General features: G+C 43.3%; 1 protein-coding gene and 1 non-coding gene across 12 annotated transcripts in view, besides 1 other annotated feature; one reads left to right on the forward strand and one right to left on the reverse strand.

The window, feature by feature from the left end:
- The window catches only part of NDUFAF6 (NADH:ubiquinone oxidoreductase complex assembly factor 6), a 222,698-nt gene that overhangs the window by 2,268 nt on the left and 202,189 nt on the right, over positions 1 to 18,241 (forward strand). The window lies entirely within an intron of this gene.
- Positions 7,469 to 7,748: an enhancer, noted in NCBI's record as "active region_27636". NCBI's record gives its function as "activates an Ori minimal core promoter by ATAC-STARR-seq in GM12878 lymphoblastoid cells {active_cell/tissue: GM12878}" and the evidence as "EXISTENCE:reporter gene assay evidence [ECO:0000049][PMID:35858748]".
- Positions 7,951 to 8,053, reverse strand: LOC124902084 (small nucleolar RNA U13). Its single transcript, XR_007061215.1, has one exon. It is a non-coding gene; the product is annotated as a small nucleolar RNA U13 (small nucleolar RNA).

Genomic DNA, 18,241 nt, shown 5'->3' on the forward strand with positions numbered 1-18,241 from the left:
TTGAGCAGGTGGAACAGGACTTCCATATACTCACTCCCCTCTCCCACCCACCACACATGCACAGTTTCCCCTGTTATTGACATCTTATAGTATGGCATATTTATTACCCTATGATGTGTTTGCTATTTAATGAATCAATGTCGATGTGTTATTATTAACTAAAGTCCATACTTTATTCCTATGTCTTTAGTTTTTACCTAATATCTTTTTATTGCTCTAGGATCTCGTCCAGGATACCCATCACATTTAGATGTCATGTCTTAGGTTCCTCTTGGCCATGGCAGTTTCTCAGACTTTTGTTTTGATGACCTTAACAGTTTTGAGGAGTGCTGGTCAAGTATTTTGTAGGCTAACCATGCGACAAAAACATCAGATGAATTCCGGTAGACGAGTTGACTGGGGTTATGGGTTTGGGGAGGAAGATCATAGAGATAAAGTACCATTTTCATCACATCATACTAAGAGTTCATACCGACATCATGATTTATTACTGTTGATGTTGATCTTGACCGCTTGGCTGAGGTAATGTTTGTCAGGTTTCTCCATTGTAAAATTACTCTTTTTCCTCCCTTTCCATACTGTGCTCTTTGGAAGGAAGTCACTGTGTGCAGCCCACACCTAAGGAGTGAGGAGTGATCTTTTTTAGGGTGAAGTATCTGTATTATTTTAATTTATTCTGCATTAGAGATTTGTCTCTTTTTCCCCATTCATTAACTTAGTCATTTATTCCTATCAGTATGCACTCATGGATATTCGTTTTATAATTTGAATTATAATTCAATAATACTTTATCTTGTTGGTCAGATTGTTCAAAACTTTCACCAAGGTATTTTTCATACGTTTTTATTGTCATGAGACTCATTTGAAGCTAAGCAAAAATGAATGGTGCTTAATAATAGTATTTCTCATGTAACAAGAAAGGAATAAAACATTTTCTTCCCATTTAATGAAACTTGCTTATCCTTCATGCTTATCTAAAACATACATAAAGGAAAAAAAATCTTTGTATTTTAGTAGAGACAAGGTTTCACCATGTTGGTCAGGCTGGTCTTGAACTCCTGACCTTAAATCAACCGCCCGCCTCGGCCTCCCAAAGTGCTGGGATTACAGGCATGAGCCACTGCACCTGGCCAATTTTTTAAATTAGAATCAGGTGAGATGCAGTTTTAAAAACAATTTTATTGTTAAACAAATACATTTTACTGTAAGATAGTTTTGACTTCACATTCTACTTTGAAGCGTCATTGAGACCTCTAGATGTCCACAGAACACACTTTGAGAACTGCATACATAGTTGCCCAAACCAGAATCCTGGGAGTGAACTTAGTCATTCCTTTTTTCTTCTTTTCTGAGCTTCATAATCATAGTTAATATTTCCTGGGTAAGATAATGTGCTAGGCTGTACCCCAAGCCTTCACATACTATTAACTCCTTCAATCTTCCACCAACACTATAAGACAGGTGCTAATGACTGTCATTCCTGGTTTATAAATGAGGAAGCTGAGGCACAAGTGTAGTTTGCCTAAGATCCACAGTAGAGTCTGACTCCAGCTCACCTGTGCTGTGCTGCCTCCATTTATCACCAAATTCCTTTCTCTTCTGTTCCCAAGTCATTTCCACATTCATGCTTTATTTCCCTCTGCCTTAGTTCAGGACACCATTCTCTCTTCAGTGCAATACTCTTCTAACTGGTTTTCCTGACATGCATTGCCTCTTGCAGTCTGCCTTCCAACCTGTTGCCAAACTGCCCTTCCAAAGCACAGATGCCACTCCTTAAAACCTTTCTGTACCTCCGCTTGGATTAACAGTCAAACCCCAAAACTTAAACACACAAGACCTCTTGCGCCCAGGAGATCCCCCTACATGGAGCTGTCCACATCCCCTGTCCTTCTCACCTTGGGACCTTGGCACCTGCACCTCATTCTCCCCACCTCCATTGCCTTTCCCCAGCTAGATCCCATTTATTCATTAATACTCAAACACTGCCTTTTCTAGAAAGCTGTCTTGCCCTGTTCTGAAGTAGGACTTTCCTTTGTAGCACCTCTTCTCCAACTTATGCTTGCCTCTACCCCTGCTTGTCTCTGCCAGGCTGTAGGGAGCCCCTGGGGACAGGGGCTGTCTCTTTCAGGGCTGGCCTGGGGCCTGGTGGACCGCAACCCTCTTTGTGGGATAAATGGAGGGGAGGGGGCAGAGGTGTGCTCTCGGTGGGGGGCCCTTGGAACCTAACTCCAGGGAACAGTCCCTTGAAAGAGTTTTGCAGCTGGCACCTTGGAGGGCTCAGCAGGGTGGCAGCAGAGCACTGCCCTCTGCTCCTGAGCTCTGAGGACACCAGAGGCACCAGGGAGTCTAGGTAGATGAGCCTCTGGCTCTGCCAGTGCTGCACTTGGCTGCCACCTCAGAGGGAGGGCCCTTAAAAAGGAAGGCATTGTAGATTGTGAGACGTAGACAGCGCACCTCAGAGATGGTCAGTTCAGCTCCTTCATGATTCCTGAAACTCCACAGTGAGGAGAGAGAACAGAAAAGTCCGGCAGTGATGGAAATCCAGAAGCTCTGGGAGGTTGGAGTAGGCGGGAGGGCACAGAGTGCTCTGGGCGGGGCCCTGCTCTCCACTGAGGAGGATATGGAAGTCACCAAGAAACACTGTTCTCTGTCCCCAGAGCTTGAGTTCTGTTGGACTGGGGAACAGAGGATAAATGTGGAACGGATAACTATTGTTAAGCATGATGCAAAATATAAGATGATATGGCAGAGGGGACTGCAGGGGCGGGGAGTGATCTGGGGAGGACTCACAGAGGAGGTGACATTTTATTTAGTTCATTCATTAATTCAACAACAGTAGGGCACAGTAAAGCAAACAATTCCTGCCCCTTAGATCTTAAATCTAGTGTAAGGGAGGGGGAATGTCATAGAAACTAATAAATGTGTCAGATAGTAATAACTAAGATGAAAAATAAGAGCAGGGTAAGAGAACAGGAGGTGCTATGTTAGCTGTTTAGGGAAGGCCTCCTGATGAGACATTTGAGCAGAGAACTATGAAGAGAGAATAAGCCATACAAATAGGAAGGAAGAACATCCTAAGCAGAGGAACAAAGCCCAGAGGACCTTGGCATATTTAGTGCACAACGAGGTTTGTATGGCTGGAACGTAGTGAGCAAGGGAGTGATGGGAAGGAGATGCAGTGAGAATGTTTTAAAAGCATCCAGCTGGCTGCTATGTGAAGCGTAGACTCCAGCAGGGGAAAAGAGTAGAAGCAGGGAGACTGGATAGGAGATGGGTGCAATGCAGGGAAGGGGTTAGTTTGTGGGAGCAGGCTGGGTGGTGGAGATTGGGAGAAGCACACTCAGGATATACGCTGAAAGTAGAGCTGTGCTGATGAATAGACTGAGGCGACTGAGACAAGTAAAAGGCAAGCAACTAGATGGATGAATGGCTGTCACTCAGAGGAACAGCTATGGCATAGGACAAAATCAGGAGTTGGTTTTGGACAGGTTAAATGTTTTTAACTTCCCTCTACATTTTATTATTATTATTTTGAGACAGAATTTTGCCCTGTCACCCAGGCTGGAGTGCAGTGGCGCGATCTCAGCTCACTGCAACCTCCACCTCCCAGGTTCAAGTGATTCTCATGCCTCAGCCTCCCAAGTAGCTGGTATTACAGGCATGCGTCACCATTCCTGGCTAAGTTTTTTTGTATTTTTTGTAGAGTCAGGGTTTCGCCATGTTGGCCAGGCTGGTCTCCAACTCCTGGCCTCAAGTGATCCGCTGGCCTCAGCCTCCCAAAGTGCTGGGATTGCAGGCATAAGCCACTGTGCCCAGCCTTTTACGAAAAATTTTAAACATTCAGCAAAGTTGAAAGGATTTTATAATGAACACCCATATGCCATACCACCTGTATTCCACTATCAACATTTTGCTATGCTTACTTCATCACAGATCTCTCCATCTATCCATCCATCATTCCATCTTATTTTCTGGTGCATTTCAAAAAGAAAAAAAAAAGGAGATATCAGTACATGTCTCCCTAAGTACTTTAGCATGCCTAGCATTAACAGTTCAATATGAAAGGTATAGCCCGGGCGTGGTGGCTCCCACCTGTAATACCAGCACTTTGAGAGGCCAAGGCAGGTGGATCACTTGAGACCAGGAGTTCAAAACCAGCCTGGCCAACATGATGAAACTCTATCAAAAAAACAAAAACAAAAATTAGCTTGGTGTGGTGACCCATGCCTGTAATTCCAGTCACTCCGGAAGCTAAGGCACAAGAATTGCTTGAACCCAGGAGGTGGACATTGCAGTGAGCCCAGATCATGCCATTGCACTCCAGCCTGGGTGACAGAGTGAGGCCCTGTCTCAAAAAAAAAAAAAAAGATATAAATCTCAGGTATATAATCTTAATAAATAGACTTGTGTAACCCAAACTCTTATCAAGTTGTGGAACATTACCACCACAGTGTTTTTTAATTTCATTCATGTTGTTGAATGTATCAGTACTTTGCTCCTTTTTGTTGCTTAGTATTCCATTGTATGGATATGCTACACTTTGTTATTTTTTAATTATTAGCTATTGTGAATAAAGTCACCCTGAACATTCTTGTATGTCCACAAGGAAGTCTTTTTGTGGACATACTTTTTTTTTTTTTTTTTTGAGATGGAGTCTCACTCTGTCACCCCCAGGCTGGAGTGCAGGGGCACTGTGTCAGCTCACTGCAACCTCCGGCTCCTGGGTTCAAGCAATTCTCCTGCCTCAGCCTCCCGAGTAGTTGGGATTACAGGCGCCCACCACCACGCCCAGCTAATTTTTATATTTTTAGTAGAGACTACTAAATGACGTTTCACCATGTTGGCCAGGCTGGTCTCAAACTCCTGACATCAGGTGATCCACCTGCCTCGGCCTCAAAGTGCTGGGATTACAGGCGTGAGCCACTGTGCCCAGCCTGTATTCATTTCTTTTGAACATATACCTAAGAGTGGAATTGTGAGGTCACAGGGTAGGTATATATTTTATTTTGAGAACTAATAGGGGCTGGGTGCAGTGGCTCACACTTATAATCCCAGCACTTTGGGAGGTGGAAACAGGAGGATCGATTGAGCCTAGGAGTTCGAGACCACCCTGGGCAACCCTGGCTCCACAAAAAATAAAGAAGTTAGCTGGGTGTGGTGGTGTGCCCCTGTGGCCCTAGCTACTCAGGAGGCTCAGGTGGAGGATCACTTGAGCCCAGGAGGTCGAGGCTGCAGTGAGCTGAGATTGTACCACTGCACTCTAGCCTGGGCAACAGAGAGAGACCCTGTCTCGAAAAAAACAAAGAAAACAACAACAACAAAACTGTCATAGTTAAAATGAAGTACAGCCATGTGTATCAACCGGGATAAATCTCAGAAACAATGTTTTTCAAAAACAAAAGCAAATTATAGGTCACATTCAATATGATACCATTTATATAAAATTTGAAAGCATGTAATACAAATTACAGTAGTTGTAGATACATACTTACGCAGTAATAGCATAAAAGCGTGCTTCACCAAAGTAGCCATCAATTTCAGGACAGTGGCATCTTGGGTTCGGGGGGAGTTTATAATAGGCTTCAGCTATATCTGTAACATTTGTATTTCCTTAAAAGCATTTGAAACAAGTAGGGTAAAATGTTAATAGTTAATAAACTGAGTGATGGATGCACAGAGATTAATCTCTACTTTTTGGTTCTCTAGTTGGTAACTTGTTAGTTTTTAAGGCGCTGTTTCTGAACTATTTACTCACTCCTCCCCACCCTGTCAACCCCTGCTTCTGTAGGTAATTGATGCTAGGCTGAACCAGGATGTGTGGGGCAGGCAGCACTGTCCTTTCCCACTCCTGTGCCTCTCTCTTCTTAGAGACCCAGGGCAGAGGGATCCTGTGGACAAAGAGCACCTCTGACCTGCCCCTGGCTCCCTAGTCTTGAGATAACTTCCAGGCCTTCTTTCCCCTTTTGGTTCCTAAATCTAGGTCTGTGAACTGGGCCAAGCTGTCCTTCCAATCCCAGTTCCAAACCCTACTTAAAATTGAACCATGTGTTTTTTTGTTTTTGTTTTTGTGGTTTTTTTGTTTTTTGGTTTTTTTTGAGATGGAGACTCACTTTGTCGCCCAGGCTGGAGTGCAGTGGCGCGATCTCGGCTCACTGCAACCTCTGCCTTGTGGGTTCACGCCATTCTCCTGCCTCAGCCTCCCGAGTAGCTGGGACTACAGGCACCCACCATCACACCTGGCTAATTTTTTTTGCTTTTTTTTTTTTTTTTTTTTTTTTTTTTTTTTTTTTTAGTAAAGACAGGGTTTCACCGTGTTAGCCAGGATGGTCTCGATCTCCTGACCTCGTGATCTGCCCGCCTCGGCCTCCCAAAGTGCTGGGATTAGAGGTGTGAGCCACCGCGCCTGGCCTGAACCATGTTTTAAAATAATTTGTTCTGTTCCATTGTTTTTCTTCAGAGACTCTAACTTTATGCAGTTTCATTTGCCTGTCACTTCTCTAATGATTTTAAGTTTCTATTTTTTACTTTTCTTGATTCTGTTCTTTATGTCTTCCACGGTATCTTTCACAGTAGTGTCTCTTCTCCCTTGTGTTCCTTGTCATTTGTTTTTTGTTTGTTTGTTTGTTTTTTGCAGTGTTTCTGTATTTCTTTCCTGTTTCTTTCCTAAAGCAGTTTTTAATGTCCAGGCTCCTTTTTCATGCCCTCCCATGGTTTGTCACCTTCTGCTTCCTGACCACCCCTTCCTTGAGTTCTTTATTTCTGCTTTGTCATCTTCCTGCATAACTGTCATTGCCTTATTACATTTAAAAAAAAAATCATAATAGAATATTGGGTTAAAATTTTCTTCTTCTGGCCAGGCGCGGTGGCTCATGCCTGTAATCCCAGCACTTTGGGAGGCCAAGGCGGGCGGATTACCTGAGGTTAGGAGTTCGAGACCAGCCTGGCCAACATGGTGAAACCCTGTCTCTACTAAAAACATAACAATTATCTGGGCCCGGTGGTGCATACCTGTAATCCCAGCTACTTGGGAGGTTGAGGCAGGAGAATCGCTTGAATCTAGGAGGCAGAGGTTGCAGTGAGCTGAGATTGCGGCATTGCACTCTAGCCCAACTAGGGGAGACTATGTCTCAAGAAAAAAAAATTTTTTTCTTCTTCTTTGTGGCAGGATTTTTTGGATGAGTTTTCTTTCTGCAGGGAGGAAGTTTTGCCACTCCTTTTCAGGTTTTTTTTTTTTTTTCTGGGAGAACCTTTTGTGGATTTTAAAAATCATTTATTTTTTGACGGGTCGGATTTTTCTGAGGCAACAGTTAGCAAGTGAGTCCTGTGATGTGAGAGGGGAGGCAGCTTTCCTTGATTCTCAGCTCGAGGGCTCCCTCCTCTGTTGTAGTGAGAGGCCTACTGTTTACTGAATGGCATCTCTGTGTAGCCAGACCTCCTCTGACTTTAGGATCCTAACCTCACTTGGGTGGGTTTCAACAAGCCCAGAGCTTCCCTGGTCCTTCCCCAGCCACTGATTCGGAGGCATCCTGCCCCTTCCTACCAAGGTACTCCTCTGTCTCTTGGAAGCTGCACTTCCCAAAGCTACCTGGGTGCCCTCTAGGCACTCTGGTGATTTCCTTCTTCCTCTCCTAGTGTTCTTGCCCTCTTCCTTCTTGGTCCTGCTCATAGTGGTTCTCATCCAGGGTGAGTCTTCTCCTCTTGGGGTTGAATTTCCCTGGGGATGGCTGGGATCCACCACCAGCTGGACTGCTGTGCAGTTTCTGGTGTTTCCTATGGCACCTGCCCACACGTTGTAGATTACTGTGCTGGTTTGGGGGTGACGCCACACACAATGTGAAATTTGTAAACTTTGTCACTTCCTCATTTCACCGAAGATACAGTTTGTAGGTGTTTCACACTTTCATTCTTGTTGCCCTGTAGATTTTTTAAAAAATTGTTTATATTTTTTCATGTCAGATAGGTAATGTACCAGCATCATAACAAGGTTCAAGGGCGGCACATCTCACACGTGCACGTGAACACCTAGTCATCATGTTTATGAACTCCAAAGGATCGCCCTACAGATTCTGAGCAAAGCTGTCACCGTGCTCCCATCAGGCTGCTATAGAGTCCTTAGCAGGTATTCAAGGCCCTCCACAGTCTGCCCTGCCCTCTTTGGTTCTTCTCTGTGCTCTTAGGTATGACCACTGCTCCAGCTGAACTAATCTATTCACCATCCCAGGAACTCATCCCACACGTCCCTTTCCCTGTGTCCCTGCTGTTCCCATAACTGCACTGTCACTTCAGGGCTTCCATGTGGTAGCTGTTGTTTGTGGTGACCCCATATGTATTTCTCCCGTCTCCCTTTCTGCTGGTATAAGAACCTAACCCACCACTCACCAGCAGGGCTAGGTGTGTAAACCCAGTTTGTTGATTGTGGTGCCCTTTCCCTTGGCAACAGGGATTGTTTCATGATAGGACAAATGTTCCAAGCAGGGCCAAAGTCCTTCCCTCCACGTGAGCTAGCCAAGAAGCCTGCCTCTTGCCTCTAGGGTCACTGTGTCAAAGAATGTTCACCTGGGGGACCTCCCATCTGCAGCACTAAAGGACATGCTGACACAGAGCAGAGGGAGTGTCCTGGTTTAAGTCGTGGATCCACCTTGGTGGTTCCTAGTAATGAAAGCCAGTCCATCACATTTTAGCTTAAGATTATTTTGAGTCAGTTTTATCATGTGCAACTGAGAGGATCATGACAAATACACTTGACCTTGTTCTGCCATTGCCCCTGTGCTTTATCTATTTGTATACATTACACTATAGGGTAGTTGTAATTGCCTGTTTATTTGTCTGTGTCTCCCACTAGAAGTTCTTAATTGCACCGTCAACATTATGTATCCAGCACCTAGCATTGTGCCTGGCCAATGTTGGACAGTAAATGAAAATTCAGTTGAAACTACGTGTCTGCCTTACCAAATTCTTCCTCAGGGTCTTAGACTACCAAGTCCTTCATGAAGCTTTCCTGGCAAGTGAGAGAATGTATGTAAAATGTCTTGCAGTGTGGCCAGCACAAAACAGTCTCACAAGAGCTGCATCTTTCTCTCCTGCGGTTACTCTAGCCAGAAGTGATGTCTTTCTCCTTGTAGCTCCTATATGTCATTTAATCAAATGGCATCAACTCATACTGTCTAATACTAGAGTTTGCATTTCTCTTAAGTTTTCAATGTGAATGTAAATGCCAGGTAGCAAGGACCTTGCACAGTGCATCATACTAAAGAATCTGCAGTTGTTGGATACACTGCTGAATGCATATGTGAGCAATAGTTAGAGGTTAGATGGAGGCTAGTGATCCATTATTGGCTGCAGGAGTCCTCGTGCTGTGTGAGACACAGATAGATTCAAAGGACCCTAGAAAAGGGTAGAGCTCAATCATACATTTGCAGAATATATGAATGGTGTTTGAAAATCTAAAGCCATAACAGTTTACCATAGCTGAAACATAGCTGTGATTATCCCATATACCCAAACATCTCACTCCTTGGTAAAAGCTGCTACTTGTCCAAGCTGAATAATTGGAATGAGAAATGAGGTGAGCAAGTCAGAGTTCATCATGCCTTCAGTTCTGATAAGGGGAACTGAGTACTACCAAGAGAAGAGGCCAGAAGCTCTGGGTCCAGAACTTTGTCTCATAATTTTCACATCAGCCTCATACTTTTCTTTGCCTGTATCTTCCATATGTAATTAGTAATAGTCTGGCTGATTCAACCTTTCTTTTAGTCCTGTGACACATCCCTCAGGAGGTCCTGAGAACATATGCCTGTGATTCAGGCTTTCTAGTAGAATGTAAGCTCCAGAAGGCCAGGGACTTGGTCTGCTTTGTTCATTGCTGAATCTCCAGTACCTAAAATAGTGGCTGGCCCCTATGTATTGGGTCATAGCAGGTACTACATTCACCTCTCTACTATGTTTAATACAGTTTATTTCCCTTGTGTGTGCCTTGCTAAAATATTTATGTTTAAATTTCTGTATTTGATACACATTGTGAAAGGACATTTTCAAGTCTAAGTCCCATGACTTGAGTTTGCCTGTGTCTCCCATTAAAAGCTCTCAATTACACCATTGTGTGCCCAGTACCTCGCATTGTGCCTGGCCAGTGTTGGACAGTAAATAAAAATTCAGTGTCTTATTCACTGAGGTATAGTGCCTAAAACAGAAGACATTCCATAAATATGTGTGGAATGAATGACTTAAATATTTGATTAATGAAGTTTAAGTTGAGCAAAGAAAGGAGAACTAGTAGCTTAGATTTACTAAGAATACTATGCCACATTTATTTGTTTATTTTTAGAGACAGTCTTACTCTGTTGCCCATGCTGGAGTACAGTTGTATGATCATAGCTCACTATGGACTCAACCTCCTGGGCTCAAGCAATCCTCCCATCTCAGCCTCCCAAGTAGCTGGGACTACAGGAATGCACCCTCTTCCCTGGCTAATTTTTAAATTTCCTGTAGAGATGGGGTCTTGCTATGTTGCCCAGGCTGTCCTCAAACTCCTGGCCTGAAGTAATCCTCCCATCTCAGCCTCCCAAAGTGCTGGGAGTACAGATGTGAGCCACCGCTCGTGGCCTATGCTACATTTATTTTAACATCTTTATCGTTCACAAGTAATTTCACAGGTATCCCCTTACTTGAGTCTTGCAACAACTCTATGAGGTTTATTTTGCCAGATTTATAGCTGAGGAATAAGACTCAGAGGAGTCAGAGGGCTTCTCTAAGATTATTTAGCTTGCAGATTGGAACTTGAACCCAAGCCTTGACTCCTAATTTTATATTTGTATGAATTCATACAAATGTCATAGGAAATTATCCACATTTTATAACTAGAATTATAGAATTAGAAGTGGCCTCACACATCACAAATCCTGAACCCCTCACTCATTTTTCAAAAGAGGAAAATAAGAATTGGAAAGTTTATATATGTATCCAAAGGTACACATCCAGTTTAGGAATTTCAAAAAGCTGGCTAGGCACAGTGGCACATACCTGTAATTCCAGCAGTTTGGGAGCCCGAGGTGGGTGGATCACCTGAGGTCAGGAGTTCGAGACCAGCCTGACCAACATGGCGAAACCCCATCTCTACTAAAAATACAAAACTAGCCAGGTGTGGTGGTGCACACCTGTAAGTAATCCCAGCTACTTGGGAGGCGGAGGCAGGAGAATAGCTTGAACCTGGGAGGCGGAGATTGCAGTGAGCTGAGATTGCACCACTGCACTCCAGCCTGGACGACAGAGGGAGACTCCGTCTCAAAAAAAAAAAAAAAAAAAAAAAAAAAAAAAAAACACTTCGGGAGGCCAAGGCGGATCACAAGGTCAGGAGTTCAAGACCAGCCTGGTCAACATAGTGAAACCCCGTCTGTACTAAAAATACAAAAAATTAGCCGGGTGTGGTAGTGGGCGTCTGTAATCCTAGCTACTTGGGAGGCTAAGGCTGGAGAATCGCTTGAACCTAGGAGGCTGAGGTTGCAGTGAGCTGAGGTCGCGCCACTGCACTCCAGCCTGGCGACAGAGTGAGACTCCATCTCAAAAACAAAAAAAAATTTTTTTCAAAAAGCCAGCCGGGCGTGGTAGCTCCTAGCATTTTGGGAGGCCAAGGTGGGTGGGTCACTTCGCCCAGGAGTTTGAGACCAGCCTAGGCAACATAGTGAGACCTCATCTCTAAAATAAATAAATAAAAATTATATATGTGTATATATATACACATATATATATATACACACACACACACACATATATATATATAAAAGAATTACAAAAAGCTGGCTTCTCCAGCCAGTGCCTCTGTGTGTCACCTGGTTTCACTCAGCCTGAGAGAGTGCATTGAGCTTGTGAGAGACCAAGTTGCCCTCTGCTTTGTCTGCATCAGAGGCCCCTGAAAACTAGGCCCCTTTCTGACATGGCCCTTCTTGTAGGAAACTCATGTTCTCTCCTTCATTTTTTTTTCCTTCTCTCTTGTATACCTTGCATAGGGGTAAGGTGGGCGGGAGTTGTGGAAAAGGTAACCAGCCAGGGTTCCCTACTCCTGCCCATTTAGGAACTTTTTTTTGTTTGTTTTTTTGGTTTTTTTTTATTGGAGATGGAGTCGCTCTGTCGCCTAGGCTGTAGTACAGTGGCACAAGCTTGGCTCAGTGCAACCTCTGTCTCCCGGGTTCAAACAATTCTCATACGTCAGCCTCCCAAGTAGCTGGGATTACAGGCATGTGCCACCATGCCCAGCTAATTTTTGTATTTTTAGTAGAGACAGGGTTTCACCATGTTGGCCAGGCTGGTTTCAAACTCCTGACCTCGGGTGAACCACCTGCATTGGCCTCCCAAAGTGCTGGGATTACAGGCATGAGCCACCGCGCCTGGCCTGAACTGGTCTTGATAGAGGCCTCTGAGCTTGAAAGTTAATAAAATAATAACCCATTTCTTTCTCTGATACCTCCTCGTGTAGACCCTAGCCCTACTGAGAGTTCACATTGCACAGAATCTAAAAGAATCTTGCCTTCTGTCCAGTGGGAATGACTTTACTAGGACTGTCGGGAAGATGGATTCCATTGTTTGGCCTTGCATATCTCTATGAGTCAAAACCTGACAATAGGAACAGCTCAGTCTTAAAAAGTTCACAGATTACATTCAGTAATATCACTTTTCATTTAGTTTATGAAAATCAGGGTTCCAATTTTTAAGAATATATGTTCAAGAAAGTTTACTATAGCTTTGTTTGTAATAGCAAAAACCTAGAGATAATTTAAATTTTATCAGGAAGTGTTTTAAAAAGTATGGTTCATCTATAGTATAGTATAGAATATATCATGCAATTTTTTAAAAATGAGTTGAGATTACCTATGTGGACTTGAAAAGCTGTGATACATTCGTAAGTGATAAACATTGCAGAGTGATGTTAATGGAAAATGTTAAAGTAAGATCTTACTTTGGAGAAAAATAAGGAAATCTTCATACGTGTGTATACATGATTATATGAGCCTGGAGAAAGAAGTGGCAAGATGCCACCTCAGCTATTAAAATTTGTTACCGTGAGAGCAGATTTGGGCTGGGGGAGGAGATATTAACACGTCTGTATTTGACTTTTACAGCAAGCATGTATTGATATTGTGATTCTTTAATAAAGTGAAAATTTTGAGGAGCATGGGTTTGAGATAAACAGATGGATTATAAGCTAGTTTTTATCACTTAATATTCATGAGAGGTTTGGAATTAATAAATTACCTAACCTCAGTCTTCATCTATAAAAAGGGAATAACACCTACCTCACAGTATATAATTAAAGGAAGTATACGAAGCTTGTAACATTATCCTTTTATAAATGTTACTTTCTTTTTCCTCCCACATAAGTGATTTGGAGTAGAATATTAAAATAAATGCAGAATGCGTTGGCTCCGCTTCTGGTGTGTGTTCTCTTCATGTTCTCAACTTGGCCTTGGACTTCCAAAGAGGTGGATTAGTGTCTCCACAAAGATCCAGCAGATAATCACTGTTTCTCCCTTTAATCCTTTTAGAGACAAAGTAAGAATAATATACAATGGTACCTTGGCCCTCCAGGGGTTATTTACCTGGTACCTCAGTTATTACTAACCCAGCTGAGAAGCAGGAAGGAAGGAGATGGGCCTCTGAACAGCCAAAACAGATGTCTAAAGTTCAAGCTCACCTGGATCATTTATTCTTAATTTAGACAACAAAATGAGGTTTTTCCAGCTTTGGCACGTTAGTGAGGATGCTATGGCAGGTTCCTTGAGAGCAGCCAGAAGTGATAGCCTGGTTTGAGCTGAGGGGTCTGTGGAATACTGATACTCAAACACAATAGCTCAAGAAGCCGGATGGTCTGGGCCCACACTTGGTTTTCACAGTGAGTAACTGCTGTTCGTAATGACAGTGCTGCATTATTAGAGAGAAATTAATTCATTCTTCATATAATCTTGCAAAGGCTCTTAGAGTATGATATCATTTAGGAGGTATTACCACCAGATATGATTAAACTCCCTCAGTTTTTCTGCTAAGTTTTGTTTTCATATCAGTGCCAGAATTTAACAGTGGTCTCTATCCTACGAGGGAAAGATAGAGTAGCTGCCTTTAGTTAGAAATATACATAACCAAAAGTGACAGACATTAGGAATTGTTCAAAAAGGATCTTAACCTGGAACAGTGGAATGATTTCCTACAAGTGCATTATTTGCCTTTTGAGTAAAATAAGGTCCACTATCATCCATCTTTGCGGCCTGATGAGTTTTAGAATTCAGAGCTTTTCAGATTTTTTGAAAGGAAATATGTATGTATACAAAACCACACATCACATAAAAGCCCTGGCAGGGTCTAAGGTAACACACTATGATAAAGCATTAATATTTCTGCAGTGAAATGTACGAAGAACTAATTAGGACAAACTCTGTAGTTTATTTAAATAATAAACCAGTAGACTGGGTGCGGTGGCTCACGCCTGTAATCCCAGCACTTTGGGAGGCCAAGGTTGGCAGATCACGAGGTCAAGTGATTGAGACCATTTTGGCTGATACAGTGAAACCCTGTCTCTACTAAAAAAAAAAAAGAAAGAAAAATACAAAAAATTAGCTGGGCGTGGTGGCGGGCACCTGTAGTCCCAGCTACTCGGGAGGCTGAGGCAGGAGAATGGCGTGAACCCGGGAGGCGGAGCTTGCAGTGAGCCGAGATCATGCCACTGCACTTCAACCTGGGCGACAGAGCAAGACTCCGTCTCAAAAAAAAAAAAAAAAATTAGCTGGGCATGGTGGCACATGCCTGTAGTCCCAGCTACTCTGGAGGCTGAGGCAGGAGAATCACTTGAACCTGGGAGGGGGAGGTTGCAGTGAGCCCAGATCACGCCACTGCATTCCAGCCTGGCGACAAAGCGAGACTCCATCTCAATCAATCAATAGATAATAAACCAGTCAGTGAAAGAGTGGAACAAATATAGATTGTAAGTACTCTGGTAGTCATTTTTCTAAGGAAAACATTTTATAACTCTTTCAATATATACAGGTTCAAATTTGGCTAACTATGCCTGTGCATACACAAAGGATGAACATGTGTAACCTCTGGTGTTTGTACATCCTAGAGGAGAGTAACATCAGTGCCTGTCCCAGCAGTAGGCTGGCAGGGGACATCTGATGCCAGCAGGAGTAGGATTAAATGCAGCACTCTAGCAGGTGCCCTTTTTAAGGACTCGTTGCCCCCCATGTCATAATGGTTCATTAATTTGGGTTTCCATCTGTTCCTTTTTAATTATGAAAACTGCCATAAACTCATGTTCACTGATAAATGTACATGGCTCAAAGCCCACCATTGACTGATCACACATTTTCACCATATCATCTAGTGATTATTGTTCCACCCATGTTTATAATTTCCTCTTCATCATCACTATAACCCTCATGATTATCTGTATTTAAAACCATTTCTGGGCCAGGCGCAGTGGCTCACGCCGGTAATCCCAACACTTTGGGAGGCCAAAGCAGTAGGATCGCTTGAGGCCAGGAGTTCAAGACTAGCCTGGACAACATTGCAAGACCTCATCCCTACGAAACAGTTTTAAAAATCAGCTTAGCATTCTGGCATGCACCTGTAGTCCCAGCTACTCGGGAGGCTAAGGTGGGAAGATTGCTTGAGCCCAAGAATTTGAGGCTTCAGTGAGCTCCCATCACATCCTTGCACTCCAGTCTTGGTGACAGAGCGAGACCTTGTCTCTTTTTTTTCTCGAGACCAAGTCTTAATCTGTCATCCAGGCTGGAGTGCTGTGGCGCGATCTCAGCTCACTGCAGCCTCTGCCTCCTGAGCTTAAGCGATTCTCCTGCCTCAGCCTCCTGAGTAGCTGAGACTACAGGCATGCACCACCACGCCCAGCTAATTTTTGTATTTTTAATAGAGATGGGGTTTTGCAATATTGGCCAGGCTGGTCTTGAACTCCTAACCTCAAGCGATCTGCCCGCTTTGGCCTCCTAGAGTTGGGATTACAGGCGTGAGCCACCGCGCCCGGCCTGAGACCTTATCTCTTTTTTTTTTTTTTTTTTTTTTTCAGTGGTTTCTCTGCTTAAGACAGGCACATCAGGGTCTTCACTGTCAATGTGGAATATTTATTTGATGTCGGTTTTATAGTTTTAGTGGATAAACTTTGGGAATAAGGTAGTCTTCTTATTAGTGAAATAAAATCCTTTGAAGTCTTCATCTGTAGATTTGGTTTCAAACATCGCTGTAAGCCAGCATCCATGCCACTGCAGGGAACTCATGCAGCTGCTATGGAGTAGTTATTGACCAGCCAGAAAGTACTTACCTGGTTACTCATGTTTTGTTTGCATAGTAAGGCCTGGGTGAGTTACATGTACCTCTCAAACATTTTAGATGTTGCTCTTTCCAGCCACCGCCAGTTTTATCTCATGTGGCCAACAATAGTGGCACACCCCAGAATAGTCAGCCAGTTCCTCAAAGCCTATGGTTGCTCACTCACTAGCATTGTGAAATGTTTTTCCAGAATATGCCACCAGGAAAGAGCTGTTTCTTCAGCACTGTTGATTTGCTCAAGACTAAGGTTCTTGGCTGGGCACGGTGGCTCACGCCTATAATCTCAGCACTTTGGGAGGCCAAGGCAGGTGGATCACGGGAGTTCGAGACCAGCCTGGACAACATGGTGAAACCCCGTCTCTACTAAAAATACAAAAATTAGCTGGGCATGGTGATGCGCACCTGTAATCCCAGCTACCTGGGAGGCGGAGGCGTCTCAAAAAAAAAAAAATACAAAAGTGAGTAACATGTGGAACCACATATACATAGAGGTCCACAACTCAGAGCTTACCATTTATGTTTTATTATTGCTATTTATTTATTTTAGCTTCATCGGGTACATGTGCAGGTTTGTTACATGGATATATTTTGTGATGCTGAGGTTTGGGCTTTGATTGAACTCATCACCCAAATAGTGAACACAGTACCCAATAGGTCATTTTGCAACACTTTTCCCCTATTCCCCCCTCCCCGCTTTTGGAGTCCCCAGTGTCTGTTGTTCGCATCTTAAATTTTTTTTTTTTAAGAGATGGGGTCTCCCTGTGTTGCCCAGGCTAGTATTGAACTGCTGAGCTCAAGTGATCCTCCCACCTCAGCCTCCCAAAGTGCTGGGATTACAGATGTAAGTGACTGCCCCCAGCCAATTGTTCTCATCTTTCTGTCCATCTTTACCCAGTATTTAGCTCTCACTTATGAGTGAGAACACCTGATACTTGGTTTTCTGTTTCTGCATTAATTTACTTAGAATGACGGCCTCCAGCTGCATCCATGTGGCTGCAAAGAACGTATTTTTGTTCTTTGTTATGGCTGTGTAGTGTTCTGTGGTATATGTGTACCATGTTTTTTAAATCCAGTCCACTTTTGACGGTCATCTAGACTGATTCTATACTTTTGCTGTTGTGTATAGTGCTGTGATGAACATGCGAGTGCAGGTGTTGTTTTGGTAGAACAATTTATTTTCCTTTGGGTGTATACCCAGTATTGGGATTGTTGGGTCGAATGGTAATTCTGTTTTTACTTCTTTGAAATATCTCCAAACTGCTTTTCACAGGGGCTGAACTAATTTACAATCCCACCAACTGTGTCAGTGTTTCCTCTTCTCTGCAGCCTTGTCAGCATCTGTTATTTTCAGGGCTTACAATTCAGAATGAGACCAGAACAGGTACACAGATCATATACTTACAAGGGGCTTCAGAGAAATGAGTGGTTAAGTTTCTGTCTAGGAACTGGGGAACAAATAGGAGGACTACAGAATAAGTGATACTTGTACCAGACCTTGTAGGATAGGTGGAATTGTATTGGGTGGTGGGAGAGATTGTGAGGATATCCCTCCTTTGATATCTGTGTTCTCCTTCTTTGTTAGCAATAGAACCCCTAATTTAGCTGAAATAAAAATTAAATTTCCCATTCTCCCTTGAAGCTAGGAGAGGCCATTGAATGAGTTATGGTCAGTGCAATTTAAGCAAAATGGTGTGTACTTTAGGCAGTGAGGCATAAAGTGTGAGGAGTTTTAAGGTTGTTGGGTAGCTGGGGGAAGTAGCAAGATAGTGTAGAAAAGAAAAAAACGAAGTTCATGCAATTTCTTACAGCCTGATGCAATACCTTTCCATCTGTTGTTTCTCAGTAGCACATTCAACATGGAATCGGAGGTGGTCCTGACAAAACAACAGAGGCAAGCCATGCCCTTGTCCCATGGGAT

Source organism: Homo sapiens, chromosome 8 (genome assembly GCF_000001405.40).
Source record: "Homo sapiens chromosome 8, GRCh38.p14 Primary Assembly".
NCBI classification, from domain to species: Eukaryota; Metazoa; Chordata; class Mammalia; order Primates; family Hominidae; genus Homo; species Homo sapiens.